This window comes from Homo sapiens, chromosome 22 (assembly GCF_000001405.40).
Source record: "Homo sapiens chromosome 22, GRCh38.p14 Primary Assembly".
Lineage (NCBI taxonomy): Eukaryota > Metazoa > Chordata > Mammalia > Primates > Hominidae > Homo > Homo sapiens.
The window spans coordinates 37731967-37751089 of record NC_000022.11 but is presented as its reverse complement, the minus strand read 5'-3'; the positions used below and the strand labels follow the sequence as shown (position 1 = coordinate 37751089).

Genomic DNA, 19123 nt, shown 5'->3' with positions numbered 1-19123 from the left:
TTGCTCATCCTGATATTTTTCTGACCATGCTCATCTAGTGGGTGCCAACCACCAGACCCTCCCTTCCTGCTGGGGAGACCTCTCTCATCTAAGTCCCGGTCCCTCTGCAGTCTCCGCTCCTGGCGCCGGCAGGGAGGAGGTGGCCACCGGTTGCCATGGCTCTGAGCCTACCTATCAGCCCCTACATCGAGGCCTCACCAGGCCAAGGTGTCTGGTTGCCTGCAGAGAACGGGTGGCATGGCTCAGTGGAGTGGGCGGTGACAGTGGCAGCTGGAAACCACAGCCACCCTGCCTGGCCACCTCTCCCGACCCACTCTCCACCCACGGAGCCCCTTCTCAGGTATAGGAAGTGGACCAACCGGGGCTTGGGACAGCTGAAGATCCAGAACCTTCCACAGCCACAGTCGGGGGACCCAGTAGGTTGGCATCCCAGCCCCTCCCTGTATACCTGTCTAAGGGAGAGACACAGGCTCTGCTCACGGCCGAGAACCCCTGGGGCTGCGTTTGTCCCGCTGCTCTGTATTCTGCCCACCCCGTCTTCCACCTGAGACGGAGGCTGCCCAGGGCGATCCCAAGCTAAGAATGAAGATTGGTGACCACACCTGGCTCCACTTCCCCTCAGTCTGGGACCTCCTGTGGCCCCAGGGCCTTGCAGGGGGCTTGACCACAGCAAGGCTCAGGAAAAACTTGCTGAGGAAATATCTACCCCCTGGTCTAAATTTCTGTGCTTTTTGGGCCATCTCCCCTACCCCCACCTAGCCCGGAGGAGCCAGGCTTCCTGGGCCCACAGAGCTGGCACCACTGGGCAGTCCCAGGCGAAAGTCCCTGGGCCAGGGCTGGGAGATTGGGGCAGGAATGACAAGCTGTCAGGCTGGAACCTCTAGGGCTGCCTGGGAAGTGGAGTCACTGTGACCTTCCTAAGTCACATCCCCTCTCTGAGTCCTGGCTGCCTGATGTGGCAAATGACGGGGCGGTCCTCCCCTCCCGCAGCTTCCGACAGGACTGAACGTGTCTGTACAAGGAGAAACCTAGTGATCCTCCAGAGCCCAGTACAGACACATCACATACCATGTCAGGCACGCCATGACACAGTGACCTTGGGGATAGAAGGTCACCAATTTGAGTTTTGTTTTGTTGAGACAGGGCCCTGCTCTGCTGCCCAGACTGGAGTGTGGTGGTGTGATCACAGCTTACTGCTGACTCAACCTCCTGGGCTCAAGCGATCCTTCCACCTCAGCTTCCAAGTAGCCGGGACGACATAAGCACTCCACCATGCTCAGCTAATTTTTTTTTTTTTTTTTTTTTTGTAGAGATGGGGTCTCCCTATGTTTCCCAGGTTGGTTTCAAACTCCTGAGCTCAAGTGATCCGCTCACCTCGGCCTCCAAAAATGCTGGGATTATAGGTGTGAGCCAATGTGCCCGGCCAACCAATGTGAGTTTTTAAACTGGCAGGGAAACCTGTCCCCAGGGTCAAAAGGTCCGATCATCTAAATCTCCCACGATGCCCCTTCATACAGGGCTCTTCAGGCCCAGCTACCTCTTCTTCACCTGCTAGAAGCTCAGTTTCTCCTTCCGCCTTTCGGGAGTACTGGCAGGTTCTCACAGCCCCGCCTCCTACCTGGCCAGGCACACAACCCCTCTACACACCCTCGGGCTGGCGGGACTCACTCAAAAAGGCTTGGTATCCCAGGCTTGCTTAACAGTTCCAGGGACGGCTCCAGGTGGCTTGCTTTATTTTTGAGACAGAGTCTCTGCTGCCCAGGCTGGAGTGCAATGGCGCCATCTCGGCTTACTGCAACCTCCACCTCCCGGGTTGAAGCGTTTCTCCTGCCTCAGCCTCCCAAATACCTGAGATTACAAGCACCCACCACCATGTCCAGCAAATTTTTTTATTTTTAGTAGAGATGGGATTTCACCATGCTGGCCAGGCTGGTCTCGAACTCCTGACCTCAAGTGATCCATCCACCTCAGCCTCCCAAAATGCTGGGATTACAGGCACACATAAGCCACTACACCCGGTCTCCAGGTGGCTTTAAAACAAAGTCCAGCTGCCTCAGGATGGCAGGGAAGCCTCATCACACTCTTCCAGCCTGGCCTCCCCTTGCTGAGGGGCCCCTGTTTATACCACTGCATATTCCTTGCCGATCACAACACACCAGGACTCCGGGCCCTTCATATGTGCCATGTCCTTGGCCTGAAACACTATGCTTCCTCCTCCTCCGATGACTAGGCAAGCGGCTACTCAGGCCTTAAGACCCAGCTTAATGGCCACCTCTGAGGTCCCTTCACAGTTCATGCCACTCACCGCACCACCAGCCGCCCCCGTCCTGCCCTCCCATGGCCCCTCTCAGAGGCCTCTGTTGCATCCGTGACTATCTTGAGGCCCTTTACTTATCCTTCACAGGCTAGATTAGATGCAACTCACAGTCAGGGACATACACTGTTTACCTGCCAGGACCCAGCACAGATAGGGGCTCAGGGAGTGTTTGCAGAAAAAAAAATTTTTTTTTAAAGTTATCAGGCACTGTTCTAGGCCAGGAAATTAGCTGTGACCAAGAGCTGTGGCCCCTGCCCTGGTGGACTGTAGGAAAGAGACAGTAAACAAGGGACCAAATATAATTTGATGCCCAGCAGGCGAGGGGGAAGGCTGATCCGGGAGCAAAGCTGCACCCAGGCAAAGGCAAAAGGGGTGGAAGAGAATCCCAACTCCCTGAAGCCCCGGAGCCTCACACACTCACACACCTGTGCCACTTGCTCTGTATGGATCCCTGATTCAGGGCACGGGGGCCAGGGGAGGAGGGTGTGAGGTGGGTACAGGAGGAGCACCAGCTGAGAGCAGGCTGAGGTCTGCATGGCAGCCAGGATGAACTCAATGAACACTATTAATGGTGATCATAGCCTCCTCTCTGCTCTAAAAGCTTTCATGGCTCTCTATTGCCCCTGTCCAAGCCCTAGCAGTGAGGCCCTCCTCCCCAGACCCCTTCCCTACGCTCTTGCTACTTCTCAAACATGACCACCCGTTTCTGTCCACACTGCTGTCTCCTCGCTAGTCCATCTCCACCTGACAAGGCCCTATAATCACAGGAGGACACCTCCCTCAGGAAGGCTGCTGCCACCAGCAGGGATGTGCTGTCCATCTTCCAAGCACCCCACACGCTGCTTCCGGCAGCCTTACCCTTGCTCAGCACGTGCTGCCCCCAGGACAGGCAACTGTGAAAGAAAGCTGGAACGGACCTGGATACAAATTCTGGCTTAGCCTGGGACTCACTGAGTTACCTGGGGCATGACACTTCACCTCGCCACACCTTGGTTTCCTCATCTGTTTGATTAAGATGTTACTACCAACCTTCAAGGATCAAATCTGGTAACGTGAAAGCACCCGGCTGAGGGCCGGGCAGGCACCCGGTGGGCAAGGCAACTTCTCTCCTCCTGGCCCCAGGACACTGACTCAGCTCCTCCCCCCACATCCCTTCTGCTCCTGACAGAAAAGGGGAGGCTGCTGACGACAGGAAGGGCCAGCAGGGAGGTGGCAGGATGTCCAGGAGGACGCCGAGGAAGTCCAGGCCATCACACTCACAGGGCAGGGGCTAGGCGTGCCACGCCCCCCAGCAGCCCAGCCCGCCCCCAGCAGCCCACCCACTCCTCCGCAGGGTCTCCACTCCCCTGAAAGAGGCCTACTGCCGCCTGTGCACACACACACCCTGCTCATCCTCCCCCAGGAGGGCCACTGGGCTGTCAGAGCCTCCCTGAAGCACTAGCCAGAAACCAAAAGCAGCCCCACCCCTCCCTTCCCGAACATCACGGTCAGTGGGCCAGAAGGACAGGGAAAGGAGCTACTCCTTCTCTTATACTTGGGGTGACCTCGGGCAACTCACCAGCGCCCCTCCCCAAGCCTCAGTTTATCTGGCTGTGAAGTGGGGAGTCCAGCGAACCCAGCTGTGAGGCTCAATATGCTAACTATGGCACAGGTAATTGATGGGGCTTGGGTACAGCTCACCCCCATGAGAAAGGCAAACCCCTGCCATCATGCCCCCTACTCAGACTCGCAGGCTTGTCCCAAGGCCCCAGGACCGCTGCAAAGTGCAAGCCCAGGAAGACGTGGTATCCCGCTGCTTCAGACGTCCCGGGACTGCCTCCCGGGCTGTGGGTGGGGCGGTCCGGCCACTTCTCGCCCACCCGACCTCGGGCCAGCGGCCACACGGAGGGCTGGCTTGCCCAGGCCCGGGTCAGCGCGACCCATCCGCACCCACGAGCGCCCCTCCCCAGCCCAGGCCCACCTCCGCTCCTCCCTGGGGCCCCTGGCCGCCTTGGGGAATCGGGTCTTCGTCTAGGGGGCTGGAGGGGAGGTGGGAAAGGGTCGCCCCGAATCCACCCGTGACTGGTGCCGCAAGTGTGAGGAGGGGGCGCCCGAGACGGGTCGTTCCGTCCCCTCAGGGTCGCCTGGGCTCCCGGGGGCGAGTGGGCGAGGGAAGGCGAGGAGGAGCCTGCGGGAAGGGTGAGGCCGGTCTGGCCGAAAGCGCTTCGGAGGTGGCCCCGTCTTCCGGCCCAGCCCTCCTCTCGCCTTCGGGAAATGAGGAGGGGGCTGCCCCGGAGGGGAGAGGCTGGGCTCTGCCTCGGGTCGTCGCCCTTCTCCCGGCCTCGGGCGCGGGCGGCTGACTGGGGCACTCACCGTCATGGCGGCGCCCCAGGGCGGCGGGAGCAGGAGGCAGGAACGTGGACGCGGCTCTCGGGCCGGGCTCCGCGGCGCGGGAACCCCGCCGCCGCCGCCGCCGCCGCCCCTCTCGGCCGCCCGCCGCCGCGCCTCCGGCCCTTCCTTTCCCCGACGCTGCCCCGGCCCCTTCCATCCGCCCATAAAACTTTTTTTTTTTTTTTTTCAAACTTCCTGGGAGGACCCGAGCGGGCCAATGGGTGGCGGGGAAGCCGAGACAAACAGCGGCGGGGGCCGCGGCGGGCCAATGGAAGCGCGAGACGGGCCGGGGGCGGGACCTGCCGCAACGGGACGGGCGCGCTAGGGCGGCGGGGCGGCGGGACGGCGGGACGGCGGGGTGGGCGGATGGGGCCGCAGGGAAGGGAGGGCGGTGGCGGCCGGAGGGCGGGCGGGCCCGGGCCGCGGGCGCGCTGGGAGGAAGGAAGGGCCCAGGGTGCAGGTGACTCCGGCAATGGCGCGGGGGCGGAGGATGCGGGCGGCCGGGCGTGGGCACGACTCGCCCAGGCTGCGCTTCCCGACCCGGCCCCGGAGCGATGGGTCCGCTAGGGCTCGGCGCCGTGATTTGGCGGGGACCGGGGCAAAGCACCCAGTACTAACGACTCAGCGGGTCCCACTCGCCAAGAGTCGATTTTCGTCCTCACCACAGACTTGGGAGGGAGGTCTTATTTTGCTAATGAGAAAACGGAGGCTCAGAGGGGTGAGCCGATTTGCCCGAGGTCACACAGGAAGAGGCGGAATTCCTAGCGAGTAAGCTGGACACAAAGTGAGTTCTTGGATGGCAGGGTCTCTCCCAAATGCCCACTCCTCACAAATGGGTCTTTTTTGGTTTGGGGTTTTTCAGGTGTGGGCGTGCACCCGTTGCTCAGGTTCCCAGAACGCTGGGCCGTTTGTTAGATGCTCTTTTCCTGCAGGTGAGTAGGGACCGTGGTGGAATTGGTTGCTAAATGCACTAGGAAGTTCGTGTGGCACGGGGATTCCAGCCTAGTGTTACCTTAAGCAAGGCACCTCTCGGTGCTCAATTTCACTCTCTGTAAAATGGGGTAATGCTGTTACCTCATGAGGTTGCTGGAAGGATTAAGTGTTAATTCAAGTAAGGCACCTAGGACAACCTCTTTATCCCTCATTAGCTATCCTTAGGCAAGGAGGCAGGGAAGCTTGGAATAATTGGCATTTCAATTATTCTGTCATCTTGATTTGGGGTTCAAAAATTATTGCCCTTGCCGGGCGCGGTGGTTCAGGTCTGTAATCCCAACACTTTGGGAGGCTGAGGTGGGTGGATCATTGAGATCAGGAGTTCAAGAGCAGACTGGCCAACATGGTGAAACCCCGTCTCTACTAAAAATACAAAAATTAGCCGGGCGTGGTGTCAGGCGCCTGTAATCCAGCTATGTAAAAGGCTGAGGCAGGAGAATCGCTTGAACCCGGGAGGCAGAGGTTACAGTGAGCAGAGATTGTGCCACTGCACTCCACCTTGGGAGACGGAGCGAGACTCCCTCTCAAAAAAAAAAATTATTGCTTTTATAATTACTGTTCCCATTTTGCAGATAAAGAAATGGAGGCCCAGGGAGCTGAAGTTCTTTCCCAGCATTTGCTGCCAGGAGTCTCTCCACCATGAGGAATGAGGCCAAGGTTAAGTCCATCTAACTCTAGAAACTGGCCTTCTGGCACCCCGGGCTGAGTTTTCTCACCCTACCCTTGCACCTCACTCAGGCAGTCAGTCCTTGGGAGAGTGAATGAACACGCAGGAGACCTCACCTACCACCAGGGTCCTGGTCCAGTGCCCTGGGCACCTAACAGCACCAGCCTCCTCCAGGCTTTTCTGGCCCCTGCGACTCCTCCTAGTACCCGCAACACAGTGACCAGACCACTTCCCTGCTCAAAGTTCTTCCACACATCACCAATGCTGACAGATCAGTGCTACATTCCTCTTCTAGGCAGTCAGGAACCATCACAACCTGGCTCCTGCCTGTCATCCTGGCCTTCCAGATTCTCATTTGACAGGCTGGAGAGACACATACTTTGGTCAATTTTGCAAAATACAATAAGTAAATAAAGAGATGCACAGCACTGGAGGCTGGGCGCGGTGGTTTATGCCTGTAATCTCAGCACTTTAGGAGGCCGAGGCGGGTGGATCACCTGAGGTCAGGAGTTCGAGACTAGGCTGGCCAACATGGTGAAACCCCGTCTCTGGTAAAAATACAAAAAATTAGCCGGGCGTGGTGGCACATGGCTGTGATCCCAGCTACTTGGGAGGCTGAGGCAGGAGAATCGCTGGAACCTGGGAGGCGTAGGTTGCGGTGAGTGAAGATCACACCACTGCATTCCACTCCAGCCTAGGCAACAGAGCGAGACTCCATCTCAGAAAAAAAAAAAAAAAAAAAGATACACAGCACTGGACTACTAGGAATTCCCAGGATAAGACAGGTCCTTCTACCCCCTGATGGTTCTCTGCTGTGCCTGGAACACTTCTCTTCCTGTCTTCTGTACCCCAGCACACACACACACACACACCCAGCACACACTCACACACACCCAGCACACACACACACACACACACACACACACACACACACACACACATTCTCTCTCTCTTTCTCCCCTTCCCCCTCCCAATGCTTGTTGGCCTGGAAAATTTCTTCCTTGAAGTCTCAGACCAAAGGAAGCCAAAGTGTCCCCAGCAGACTTAGGAACTGCTGGCCCAGTGCTCCCTACATCTGTACCTTTCCCCACTAAAGTGGTGACCACACTGTTCTCATCAGTTACATGTCAGTGTCCTTACCTAACTGGGCTCCAGTGGCCAGGGCTGGAATGTTTTTTGTCTACATCTTGGAAACCAGCCTAGGGCCTAAGCCCACAGCACATCCTCCGTAAGCACGGCTCGAATGAATGAATGCACCAATGAAGAAACCACAACTCATCCTGGCAGGTCAGAGACAGCACAGCCTCAGGGACCCAGGGGTGAGTTATTAAACTGGCAAAGACCAGAGCTACCAAACTTCGAGGTTATCCAGTCTCAAACCGTTACTCTACTGAGAATAATAAGGTAAGGCTCAGAGAAGGGCACACAAGTTAGGTGCCAAGCCAGAACTCGACTCCAGGCTTTCTGGCTCTTGGCCTTGGGCTAATTTCACTGCTTCAGCCCAAGAGAAGTTTAAATCTGCTCTGTGTAACTGGGAGGCCCTGCTGGCAGTTCCATCCCTAGCTCTTCATTTCCCTCACTCCCACATGAGAGAACCACTGTAGCCAACCTCACCAAGCCTCGGTTGCCGCATCTTTCTAATGGGGAAAATCTGTGGGGACTCCCAGAGCTGCAGGAGGGCTCAGAGAGATCAGGATGTGAAGGCAGTGGTGTAGGGGGCGTGTTGGAAGCACTGGGCTCTGAGGTCAGCCAGAGCAGGGTCTGAATCTCAGTTCTGCCCCTTGCTCCCTGTGTGACCTGGAGCAAGTGACCCTCCCTCTCTGAGCTTCACTTCATCATCTGTAAAATGGACAGTAGGCGTCTAACTGCACCTGGGAGTGTGGATCAAATGCAATTAGGTGGCGCCATGCAGTGAACACAGAGCTGGGCATGTAGTAGGCATACAATAAGTGCTGGTTAGCCAGCATCATTACCCCAGAGTGCTTTCCCTGCTTCGCTCCTCCTTCGCTCTACCAAGGACTTACCTGCCCCCTCCTGCCAGACGTGCTGTGTGTTGGTGACCTTTAGTTAGACAAGGTAATTCCTGCCCATGGCTTAAAGGTACCACACTACTCAGATAACCATGCTTGCCTGCTCACCCTCGGTGCCTTAACCACAAAGAGCAGCGAAAGGAAATTCTGGGCTCAGCTGGGTGACTCACGCCTGTAATCCCAGCACTTTGGGAGGCCAGGGCGGGCGGATCACTTGAAGTCAGGAGTTGGAAACCAGCCTGGCCAACGTGGTGAAACCCCATCTCTACTAAAAATATAAAAATTAGCCAGGTGTGGTGGCACACGCCTGTAGTACCACATACTCGGGAGGCTGAGATGGCAGAATCGCTTGAACCTGGGAGGCAGAGGTTGCAGTGAGCCGAGATGGTGCCACTGCACTCCAGTCTGGGGGTAGAACGAGACTCTATCTTAATTTAAAAAAAAAAAAAAAAAAACGCCTGGCGTGGTGGCTCACACCAATAATCCTAGCACTTTGGAGGTCAAGGTGGGCGGATTACCTGAGGTCGGGAGTTCAAGACCAGCCTGGCCAACATGGTGAAACCCTGTCTGTACTAAAAATACAAAAAATTAGCCGGGTGCAGTGGCGCACGCCTATAATTCCAGCTACTCTGGAGGCTGAGGCAGGAGAATCACTTGGACCCGGGAGGCAGAGGTTGCAGTGAGTAGAGATGGTGCCACTGCACTCCAGCCTGGGCGATAGAGCGAGACTCCGTCTTAATTTTTTAAAAAAAGGAAATTCTGAAGTGGATGGGAAAGTTAGTGTTTCGACAACAGCCCCGCAACCTCCATGCATCCTGATCTCCCTGAGCCCTCTCTGCAGCCCTGAGTCTCCACAGACTTTTTCCTAATAGACAGATGTGGCAACCGAGGCTCAGTAAGTTTGGCTACAACCCTTCTCTCATCTGAGAATGAGGAAAATCAGCTCCTTTATACCCCAAGCTGTGCGACCTCAGGCAAGTCAGCTCACCTCCCTGGGCCTCAGTCCCTTCATCTGTAAAATGGGCACACTGTCTCTGAGGTGCCCAGCCTAGTGCTGGACTCAGAGCCAACAGCGGTGAGTAAGAGAGTCAGCCTCTCAAAGAGAGAAGAGACCCCATGAGCCAGCCTGTGGCTGCTGGAGATGGCCAGGCCCCTTCTGTCCTGCTGTGAAGCGGGTGGGAGGGAGCGGGTCTCAGCTGCCTGCCCTTGTGGAAAACCCAGCCAGAGGCTTGAGTGTTTCCAGGCCTCTCTGGGCAGGGGATGGGTTACGTAACGCCAGATGTTTGTGAAACTGGCTCAGGCCCAGGTCTGAGACACACTTTGCAATCCCAGAGCCACTTATAAGCTCGCCTTCCCTTCCCCCATACCTGGCTCCCCGTTGGCCCAGGGCTGGCGAGAGGCTGCTGATTGGAAGCTTTCAGCTGTGTAGATTATTCCATCACCCCTCACTCCAAAAGCTGAAAGCAGCCCCCAAGCCTGCCCCGGAAGTGGGAAACCCACTCGCTTGCTGAGACCAGGATGAGCTTAAGAGCTCTGCTCCCACCTCTCCTGTCATGCGACGGCCCTAGGTGCCTCCTCCTCAGCCCCCACTCTCTCTCCTTTGCTTAACAGCCCCCTCCTCCCTCCCATCCCCGTCTCTATCCACCCTCACCCCTCCAGTCCCCACTGGAGCCAGCCTACCCTTCGCCACCTGAGGACCCCCAGAGACAGCAGGAACGGATTGAACAGCGTGGGCCGGTCCCCGGGCATCCGCCATGAGGTCACCAGTCGGCCCTTGAGCGGGCTCCCAGCCTTGCCCTCTGCTGGCCTCTTGTCTGCCTGTCAAACAGGGTCCAGTGTTGGCCCCAGGTCCCTTTGGCAGGATGGGGGCACCCCTGGCTACAGCCTCCCCTGCCCATTCTGTGGTGCCCCCCACCATGGAGCCCCAGGGTTCCCATCTTTCTCTCCTCCCAGAACTGCCGAGACGAGCTGGTTAACTTGTTCACACTACATCGTGTTGGACTGACAAGGCTCCCAGGGCTCAGCACCTTTGAAGGTGTGCACGTCATCACCCTAAAGTCAAACCACGGGCGCCAGCTGGAGGGGGTGCAGACCACAGGTATGTTTCTGCCCACATAGTGTTTTCAGAGTATTTCACATTAGGTTAGAGATTTCACATATAAATACATATCTCCAGTGTTTCTTGAAATATCGAAAGATGTGGAAACTCTGGGCCCGTCTTCCCCATGGCAACAGCTATCTGGAACCGAGGAGTCACACAAGTGCCCTCGGTGCCCCCCCACCTTCTCACCATTGTTACCTGCCTGGCCTTCAGGGCGTTAGGTTTGTGACCCCAGCTTAAGCAAAGGGAATGAGTTGTGGACTTCTACACACATTCCTAGCAGAGCCCCCAAATGCTCCCTCTTTGGAGTCATCCTCGTTGGGGAAACCAAGGCCCCTGTGAAGCAGAGGCACTTGTCCAAAGCCACACATGGGTTACTGGGAAGGTAGGAGAGAGCCCAGGGTCCTCGCTCTGGAATCTGCAGACTCTTTGGAAGTGGAACTTGAAGCATCAAAGCACAGGTCCAGGAGGGCTTTGGGGGTAGGGGTGCCCCCGACCCTGCTACCACATTCCCCATCACAGTCCTGACCACAGGCATGCAACCATCTCACTAGACTGAACTCTTTGATGGCGCTCCGACTCACCTGTGACCCACACCTGGGTATACAGAAGGTGCTCACTAAGTGTGTGTGAAAGAATGCATGAATGAGGTGGTTATCAGTTCTGACCAGTCAAGGCTGCCTAGGGGTGGGGGTAGGTTGAGATATTTTCCACGTTGATGGGCCGGGCCCGTTTCATGGAGACTAGAGGGGCACCCCGGCATTGCTGTTTCCGCCTCGTTCACTACTCTGGCTCCAGGATATGAAGAAATAACCCAGAAAGAGGAAGAGCAAAGTTGTCAGAGTCCCTGGGAGGGCTGGCAGCGCCTTTAGCGACCAGTGTCCCCTGTCCCCGCCCATTCCACAGATGGGAAGACTGGACTGCTCGAAGTTACAGCACTGCCGTTCGAAGCCACGCAAGAAATCGGGGCAGGGACGGGGGCAGCATGGGTGCCAGGTGGAGGTGCAGAGAGAGCGCTGGGTGGTTCCTGGGCCCTGGGTTCTAGTCCCAGTCCAGCTAGCCACTGACTGTATAACCTGGGACGACTCCCCTGCCTCCATTTCCTCATCTGCACAGTGAGGGTTTGGGCAGAATTCCCCCAGCTTTGACTCACGGCAGGGCCCTACTTGGGGGGCGCTATGCTGCCCAATGGACGCTCCCTGCCACCCCTGGCTTCAGGAGGCAACGGGAGGAAGAGCAGGACCGGAAAACACAGCCCCAAACAGTCTGTCTCCTCCTCCCCCACCTCCCACTGCCCCACGGCCCTCAACTCTGATCTCACCTCTCTGGAGGCTGAGGGTGACGAGAACAGTCTGTTTGGTAGGTCACGGGGAGGGGCGGGCAGAGTTGTGCTCACCAGCTGCAGCCAGGCCTCAGAGCAGCATCCGTGGGTCCCACCCCCGCACATATCTCTCCCGCCTCCAGGACCCTGGAGACCCTCCAGGCCTGGCTGACTGGGTACATCCTCAGCTCTCTGGCTCCTGCTCGTGGAAGCCCTGCTCTTTCAGCCTGGCCTGGCCCTTTCAAACCGGAAGGATCTCTTCCCACAGAGACCACTGGGGCCAAACCATCATTTGCGCAGGGAAAGACATTGACCTTTTCAGTCCCAGCAAATGAGAAGCATGGCCTAGGGTTCTGACCCCAGGATCGCCCACCTACCCAGGTCCCCAAGCCAGAAGGTGGCTCCTGCAGAGCCCCTCTTCTTAAGGCCCCACCATGCACATAGATGACCCCATGGCAATGCCAACTTTGGTCTGGTTGATTCTAGGGCTCTTCTGAGGAATGAAGCCCATCTCCAACCTGCTTCCCCCTCCCTTCCCCACCGTATGTACCCACACCCATGACCCAGCTACCGAGTCTGCCTGCTTCTGGTCAGTCAGGGGGTCTTGGCCTCTGCTTGGTTCTGACTCCTCAGGCTCCTCTGGTTGGAACTGGAGATTAAAAAAAGAACACAGCTTAGCCCAACTTATTCTCCAGGATGCATGCATCTGTCCACCTCATCCATCCATTCTATCATCTGTCCATGCAACACCCATCTAACGTCCAGCATCAGTAGATCCATGTATCCATCCAACCATCCAGTGTCTATCACATGACTCACCCTCTCATGTACCCATCATCCATTGTCTATCACCCATTCATGTATCTACCCTCCATTGATCCATCACATATCCATTTACCCAATACCTACATATCCCTCTCTCCATCCATCATCCATCTACCCATATCTCCAACATCTATCATCTGACATTCATCCACCCATGCCACATCTATCCATTCATATTCCACCCAAAGTTCATCCATCCATCACCTAAGCAACATCCATCATATATCCACCACCACCATATATTCATCACCCAGCTATCCATCCATCATCACCCATCTGTCATCCATCCAAAAGATGTCTATTATTCATTCAACATGCATCATTGATCCATCATCCATTCACACATTCACCCTCCATTCATTCATTGTTCACCCACTGACCCCTGTGTCCTCCATCTTGCATGCATCCACTGAGCTGTCCCCTCCTTTATGTCAGGCCCTGGGCCAGAGCTAGAGTTACAGAGATAAAGCAGGTAGAGATCCTGCCTGTGTGGAGCTTATGGGGAAATGACAACCCTATTAGATGGATGTTGCATGGACAAATGGAAGCAAAACTGCCAAGCCCAGAAGGGGACCATTACTAGGAGTGACTGTTCAGGGAAGGCTTCTCAGGACAGGGAGCCTGACCTAAGACTTCGACAATGAACAGGCGTTTGGTGGCTGAACAGGGAAGAGCATGTGCAAAGGCAGGGATATGTGCTCACAGGCCCTGCAGCCAGCTCAGCACCAATGAGGCAAATCCGGAGTGGAAGGAAGGGAAGCCGGCCTTGAGTGCCATGCCAAGGATTTTTTTTTTTTTTTTTTTTGAGATGGAGTCTCGCTCTGTCACCCAGGCTGGAGTGCAGTGGCGTGATCTCGGCTCACTGCAACTTCCACCTCCCGGGTTCACACCATTCTCCTGTCTTAGCCTCCCAAGTAGCTGGGACTACAGGCACCCGCCACCACGCCCGGCTAATTTTTTGTATTTTTAGTAGAGACGGGGTTCCACCGTGTTAGCCAGGCTGGTGTCGATCTCCTGAGCTCGTGATTTGCCTGCCTCAGCCTCCCAAAGTGCTGGGATTACAGATGTGAGCCACTGCACCCAGCTGTGCCAAGCCAAGGATTTTCATAGAGAGGAGCAGCTGGAGCCCCAGCAGGACCTGGTGGTTACTCGTTTTGTCATCTGTGAAATTCCTTTCAGTACATGGTGCTCCCATCCCTTCCCAGCCACCATCTCCTAGCCTCCTGAGAACCCTGAGCTTCACCATGAAACTGAAGAATCTTTCTAACTTCCTTCTTGACCTGGCCGGCCTGTGGCACCCAGCATGCCCCGGGACACAGCACCGTGTCCTCCTTGAGCTGTCTGTGTGCCTTCCTAACAAGCCTGACAGCAATCTGAGGGCAGGACGAGCTGACTTATCCCTGCTTCTCTGATGTCCACGCATTGAGTTGATTGGAGGGTCAACTCATCAAAGCCACAGGGAAATACAGGGGAGAGGGTTCTCCAGTCCTCCCATGGGCTCAGGAGCTTTGTGACGTGGTGGCTAAAAGCACAGACTTAGGCCGGGCATGGTGGCTCGCACCTGTAATCCCGGCACTTTGGGAGGCCAAGGTGGATGCATCACCTGAAGTCAGGAGTCCAAGACCAGCCTGACCAACATGGAGAAACCCCATCTCTACTAAAAACACAAAATTAGCCGGGCATGGTGGCACATGCCTGTAATCCCAGCTACTCGGGAGGCTGAGGCAGGAGAATAGCTTGAACCTGGGGGGCGGAGGTTGCAGTGAGCTGAGATTGTGCAATTGCACTCCAGTCTGGGCAACAAGAGCGAAACTCCGTCTCAATAAGTAAATAAATAAATAAAAATAAAAGCACAAACTTTGGAGTGGATGCTTTGATCTCATTTCTCACGACCTATGCATGTGTGACCCCCAGCAAATGCCTAAGGAGTCTGAGCCTCAGTTTCCCCATCTGTCAAGTGGCAGCTGCCTCCTATCCACTTGAGGCACATATGGCAAGGCCCTGGGCCCAGCACGGGGTGCACCCTGATGCCTGGAAGCCCTGCTCATCCTGGGGCAGGTGGCGTTGGACTTTGCATCTAGGAGATGAGGAGGCTTTGGAGAAACAAGCAGGAACCCCCACGGCACCCCAGCGCTGCCCGTCAGAGAAGTGGTTGGTCCATCTTACAGAGAGAGAGAGAGGCTGGTGTTCAAAACCACATGCCGTCCTCCCAATGAGCTATTGCCAGGGTGCAGGATTCTGGCCTCCAAGACCCTCCCTGCCCACCATCTTCAGATGAAGAATGTTCTGGGCTTCAAGGCAGCACCAAAGCACCAGTGAAGCAGGGGAAGGGCGAGCACCTACTGTGTGCCCGGCGCTGGGCCCACTTTGCACACGACCCTCATTTAAGCAGCCTGTCTTGGCAGCTAGCTGAACCCAGTGAGCATTGATGCACCCTCTTCTCTGTGTCTGAGAGGAGCTGTAGGGGCCAGAGAGGGTAAGCGAGGCTGTCCTGGACTCAGGTACCTGAGTACCACCAGGGGAAGGGGCATGCCCACACTGGCTACAGTCCCAGGTGGGGTCAGGTGTGTGCCACCAGACACAACATAAACCAGGTATGGTGGAGCCAGGAGGGGAATAGGCCCTGGCCAGAGCATCTTGCTTGAGGCCTCAGTGTGGTCTGCACTGAGCAGACCTGGGTTTTGCCCATGCCCCACCAGCAAGTGGCTTCACCCTGCGCATCAGTTTCCTTATCTGTAAATAGTGTATTTCTCACCTGGTTGCTAAGGAGACTAAATGGGAAAAGCACACGTCAAACATTCAGATCAGGGCTTGGCCCATAAACGCTTAAAACTGTGTTGCTCATCATCATTGTTGGGCCAGTTTGGTGATCGGGATGGGTTGTGGTCAGCAGGGAGGCTGAGGTCTGAGCCTGGAGGGGGATGCAGGAGCTTAGGCTACTCCAAGGGGAGGCTTTTCCAAGGAGACTTGGCTGAGTGGGGCTGACTTTCTGGCTACCCTTGGGAGGGTGGAAACCTCCTTACCTGCAGCTCTGGCAAGCTGGGGCCCTTCGCAGTGCTCCTGCTCCCCAGGGGGCCCGTCTGCTCCAGGCCTGCCAGAGTTGCGGTCGCTGGTCCTCTTGTCACTTTGATCTTTGGCCACTGGGTGGAGGTGCAGGCAGGGCTGGGCAGCTGGACCGGGCTCTGGGACTGCAGTGCGGGGCTGTGTCCATTGACTGGGGTGGCCTCGGCCCAGCCTTCTGGCTGGCTGTGTGACTCCTGCTCAGGGACATCGTTTGTGCCTGGGGGACCCAGCTCTGGCCCTAAAGCCCTGGCCAGGTCATCCCTGTGTCCAGCTGGGTCCTTGCGGGGCAGCCTGGCCTGCAGGAGCTCCAAGAGGCCCTCCCAGTCCAGGCTGGGGACACGGGCCCAGACCCCCTCTCCTGGTGCCCGGAGAAGGCCAAGCAGATCCCTCCAGTCAAGCTCGGGTCGCCTCTCAGAGCCACGCGGGTATGGACACGCTCCCTCTGCCCCCCAGCCCACAGCAGTGGGTGTCCCAGAGTGCCAGGATTGTGAGGACTCTGCGGGGCCTCCCCAGTTCTCAGGGGGGCTCGTGAGTGGGCTTCTCTTTCCTAGTTCTCTGGGGAGCTCATGAGTGGGCTTCTCCTCCCAGGCCTCTGGCTGCCCCCAGCTCTCCTTGTACTCCCTGGAAGTGCCCCCCCATGCTCCCTCCGGGGCTTTGGCTGCCCCCAGGCTGGGCTCTCCACATCCCCACCAGCCCCCAGGGCCCAGGCCTCCCTCCTGGCTGCTCCAGCTCCTTTCTAGGTGTCTATGAGGGCCCTGGGACCCTGGCGGTTCCTCCTGACTCTGCCACACCCCCAGAGGCTGTCTTGGGCCTGCTTGGCCACTCTCCAGAGGTCTCTGTGTCCGCAGCTCCCTCTCAGGGGTCCTGGCTGATGTCCTGGGGGGCAGCGGGGACCCCTGGAGCTGCCGATCTCCCTCAGGTCTCTTCTCAGGACTCCAAGGATGAGGGGGCTCTGCTTGGCTCCGCCGGGTCAGTTCTGCCTGTTTGGCAGGGAGCATGGTCACCTGGGGATGAGGTGAGGGGGTAGGTGAGGCTCTCTCTCTGGGGACCTGGCTGCCAGCTCTGCCTTTCTTAGGCCCCCAGAGAGTCAAGGCTGTGTCCACACAGCAGCCTGAATCAAAGCAGGCCAAAAAGTACACAGGGTCTCTGCCCCACCCCTCCGGGGTCAGCTCCTCCCTTTCACCCGCTTTCCTCAGTTCCAGAAAAAGATCTGCAAAGACCTGCCCCCGTTCTTGGCTTCTCACCCCTCTCAAAGATACTGATTCCAACTTGGGCTATCAGGTGCCAGAACCTCCACCACCAATACCCCATTCCACTGAGGCGGGCCTAGCCCTCTGGGTTTGGTTAAAGATACAAATTACCCTGAAAGAGAGGGCCCTTAGAGCCAGATTCTTGCTTCAAGGCTTTCCCTGAAATCTGCTCAAGACAGCAGTATTGGCCAGGTGCCGTGGTTCACGCCTGTAATCCCAGCACCTTGGGAGGCCAAGGTGGGCGGATCACTTGACGTCAGGAGTGACCAGCCTGGCCAACATGGTGAAACCCTGTCTCTACTAAAAGTACGAAAATTAGTTGGGTGTGGTGGCACACGCCTGTAATCCCAGCTATTTGGGAGGCTGAGGTAGAAGAATCACTTGAACCTGGGAGGCAGAGGTTGCAGTGAGCCAATATTGTCCCACTGCACTCCAGCCTGGGAGACAGTGCAAGACTCCATCTCAAAAAAAAAAAAAAAAAAAAAAGACAGCAGTGCTTAGTAAAGGAAGGGGATAGCGTGGGAGAGGGGCTATCTTCAAAGGATTAATGTGGGGTCTTGTGCATTTTGCCAAGAGCTGCTGGCCGTTGGGGAGAGGGGAGAGCTGGATCCCCATGATTGGACTCCGACCCTTTCATAGAGGACCTTCCTGTCCAAGCCCCCTGCCTGGCTTCTAGCGGGAGGGAAGAGGCAGTGGCCGCCCCTTGGGGTGCGGGGCCCCAGACAGCTGGCAGTGCTCACCTGCCTGCTGGGGGCAGGGCTGGACTGTCTTCGGAGAAGTTGGCTCTGGCCTTGGCTGGGCTGCTGTGACCGTCCCTCGTCCTGGGCCTGGAAGGCCCCCGCTGCCTCGGACTTCCTATGAGCAAATGCAGCCACTCCTCTGAGGGACTGTCCCACTCCCAGCACCCCAGCCCCTCTGCTCCCACCTCCAACAGGAGGAGATGTGGGACAGCCAGGGACCCACTGCAAGCTCGTTGAAGGGCCCTAAGTGAGGATGACTCTCAGGGCCTTAGTTTCCCCTTCTGAAAAATGGGGATGGTTAACACTGCTCTATTCTGCCTCATGAGGCTCTTGCGAACATGACGAGAAAAGTGGGGAGTAGAGGCGGTTGGGTGGGGAGGGGGATCTGGCCCTGGCCATGGCCCTCTCCTGTCTCATCCAGTACTTCCTATGACTAACCACCACCCCACCAGCAGCCCAAGAGCCACCCCCAGACAAAGGTTAGACTGGTCTTTGCGGGAATTAAGATTTATTGAGCACCTACTGTGTACCAGGCACTGGGCACACATAATCATTATGACAAAGCATTTATTGAGTGCTTCTTATGTTCCAGGGGCCAAGCACTTGTATCATGATCGCAGCCCACGAGGTGGGACGACAGAGCCAGACTGCTGTGTGCCCCCGTGTTCCATTCTTTCTGCCTTTTCCTGTCCATATTGTAAATTTTGGATTTCTTTTCCTTTTTCCCTCCCATCACTGTTAACCAACAGAATCCCAGCGCTTAGCCTTGAAAACTCCAGGCCATCCTAGCTGTTGGCAAAAGAGCTCTGAGCAAGATCAGAAGAAAGAAACATTCTCCCTGACAACTTCAGAGAGGCCAACATAAACTGTCCAAGCAAGTGTCTTTTTTTTTTTTTTTTTTTTGAGATGGAGTCTCGCTCTGTCACCCAGGCTGGAGTGCAGTGGCGCGATCTCGGCTCACTGCAACTTCCATCTCCCGGGTTCAAGTGATTCTCTGCCTTAATCTCCCAAGTAGCTGGGATTACAGGCATGAGCCACCACGCCTGACCCTGGGCAAGTGTTGTTTCTAAGACACTGGGCTTCAGGCATTGTTGACGCATCCGATGAAGATCATCTCTAACTTGTGTAAAAAGTCTAGTTCCAGTTAGTTGTCTTGCTTACTAACTGGGAGGCATGGCTGTTAATGATTAACGTGGTATCTCTATTGACAGGTAGAAACACCAAACAGAACCTGGGCATATCTCTCCCTTCCTCTACCTAAGGGGTCACAACAAAAGGCCCAACCACTCCATGAATGTTTATTTTGGTTGGGTCTCAGTTAGCAAATGGAGCCATGTCTTTGGTCGATGAACTGAACCAGGAAGAGAAGCCTGAAAAAGGCCACCCTGTGGTGGACCCAGAGTGAGGCAGCAAAAAGGGAAGTATGAGGAAACTCTGCTCAGGCCT

The 19123-nt window shown here is 56.4% G+C and overlaps 2 protein-coding genes and 1 long non-coding RNA gene across 6 annotated transcripts in view, besides 5 other annotated features; 2 read left to right on the top strand and 1 right to left on the bottom strand.

Annotated features, from left to right (window-relative positions):
* Positions 1 to 19123, bottom strand: part of TRIOBP (TRIO and F-actin binding protein) — a 79509-nt gene that overhangs the window by 25467 nt on the left and 34919 nt on the right. For 2 of the 3 annotated variants that reach the window (NM_007032.5, NM_138632.2), the window contains exon 1: positions 4670 to 4856. In NM_007032.5, the coding sequence (NP_008963.3) occupies positions 4670 to 4852 (183 nt within the window). In that variant the 5' untranslated portion in view covers positions 4853 to 4856. Of the gene's footprint in view, positions 1 to 4669; positions 4857 to 10057; positions 10196 to 12370; positions 12449 to 15647; positions 16692 to 17677; positions 17793 to 19123 lie in introns of those variants that run through there. The other variant, NM_001039141.3, reaches the window with a different exon arrangement.
* Positions 3791 to 12482, top strand: LOC124905115 (uncharacterized). The gene is made up of 3 exons (XM_047441691.1): positions 3791 to 3968; positions 10331 to 10475; positions 11385 to 12482. Exons 1-3 carry the CDS (start codon positions 3951 to 3953, stop codon positions 11543 to 11545), a joined length of 324 nt encoding a protein of 107 aa, XP_047297647.1. The 5' UTR covers positions 3791 to 3950; the 3' UTR covers positions 11546 to 12482.
* Positions 4087 to 4196: a silencer, noted in NCBI's record as "silent region_13697". NCBI's record gives its function as "represses an Ori minimal core promoter by ATAC-STARR-seq in GM12878 lymphoblastoid cells {active_cell/tissue: GM12878}" and the evidence as "EXISTENCE:reporter gene assay evidence [ECO:0000049][PMID:35858748]".
* Positions 4417 to 4646: a silencer, noted in NCBI's record as "silent region_13696". NCBI's record gives its function as "represses an Ori minimal core promoter by ATAC-STARR-seq in GM12878 lymphoblastoid cells {active_cell/tissue: GM12878}" and the evidence as "EXISTENCE:reporter gene assay evidence [ECO:0000049][PMID:35858748]".
* Positions 4987 to 5286: a silencer, noted in NCBI's record as "silent region_13695". NCBI's record gives its function as "represses an Ori minimal core promoter by ATAC-STARR-seq in GM12878 lymphoblastoid cells {active_cell/tissue: GM12878}" and the evidence as "EXISTENCE:reporter gene assay evidence [ECO:0000049][PMID:35858748]".
* Positions 5146 to 6780, top strand: LOC102724378 (uncharacterized). Of its 2 annotated transcripts, none has more exons than NR_160696.1 (3): positions 5146 to 5455; positions 5550 to 5619; positions 6253 to 6780. It is a non-coding gene; the product is annotated as an uncharacterized LOC102724378 (long non-coding RNA). The 2 variants fall into 2 exon arrangements; NR_160697.1 differs by having other exon boundaries at positions 5146 to 5471.
* Positions 9411 to 9927: an enhancer, noted in NCBI's record as "H3K4me1 hESC enhancer chr22:38137170-38137686 (GRCh37/hg19 assembly coordinates)". NCBI's record gives its function as "activates a minimal SCP1, AML or CMV promoter by ChIP-STARR-seq in naive H9 embryonic stem cells {active_cell/tissue: H9 hESC(naive)}" and the evidence as "EXISTENCE:reporter gene assay evidence [ECO:0000049][PMID:30033119]".
* Positions 9928 to 10445: an enhancer, noted in NCBI's record as "H3K4me1 hESC enhancer chr22:38136652-38137169 (GRCh37/hg19 assembly coordinates)". NCBI's record gives its function as "activates a minimal SCP1, AML or CMV promoter by ChIP-STARR-seq in naive H9 embryonic stem cells {active_cell/tissue: H9 hESC(naive)}" and the evidence as "EXISTENCE:reporter gene assay evidence [ECO:0000049][PMID:30033119]".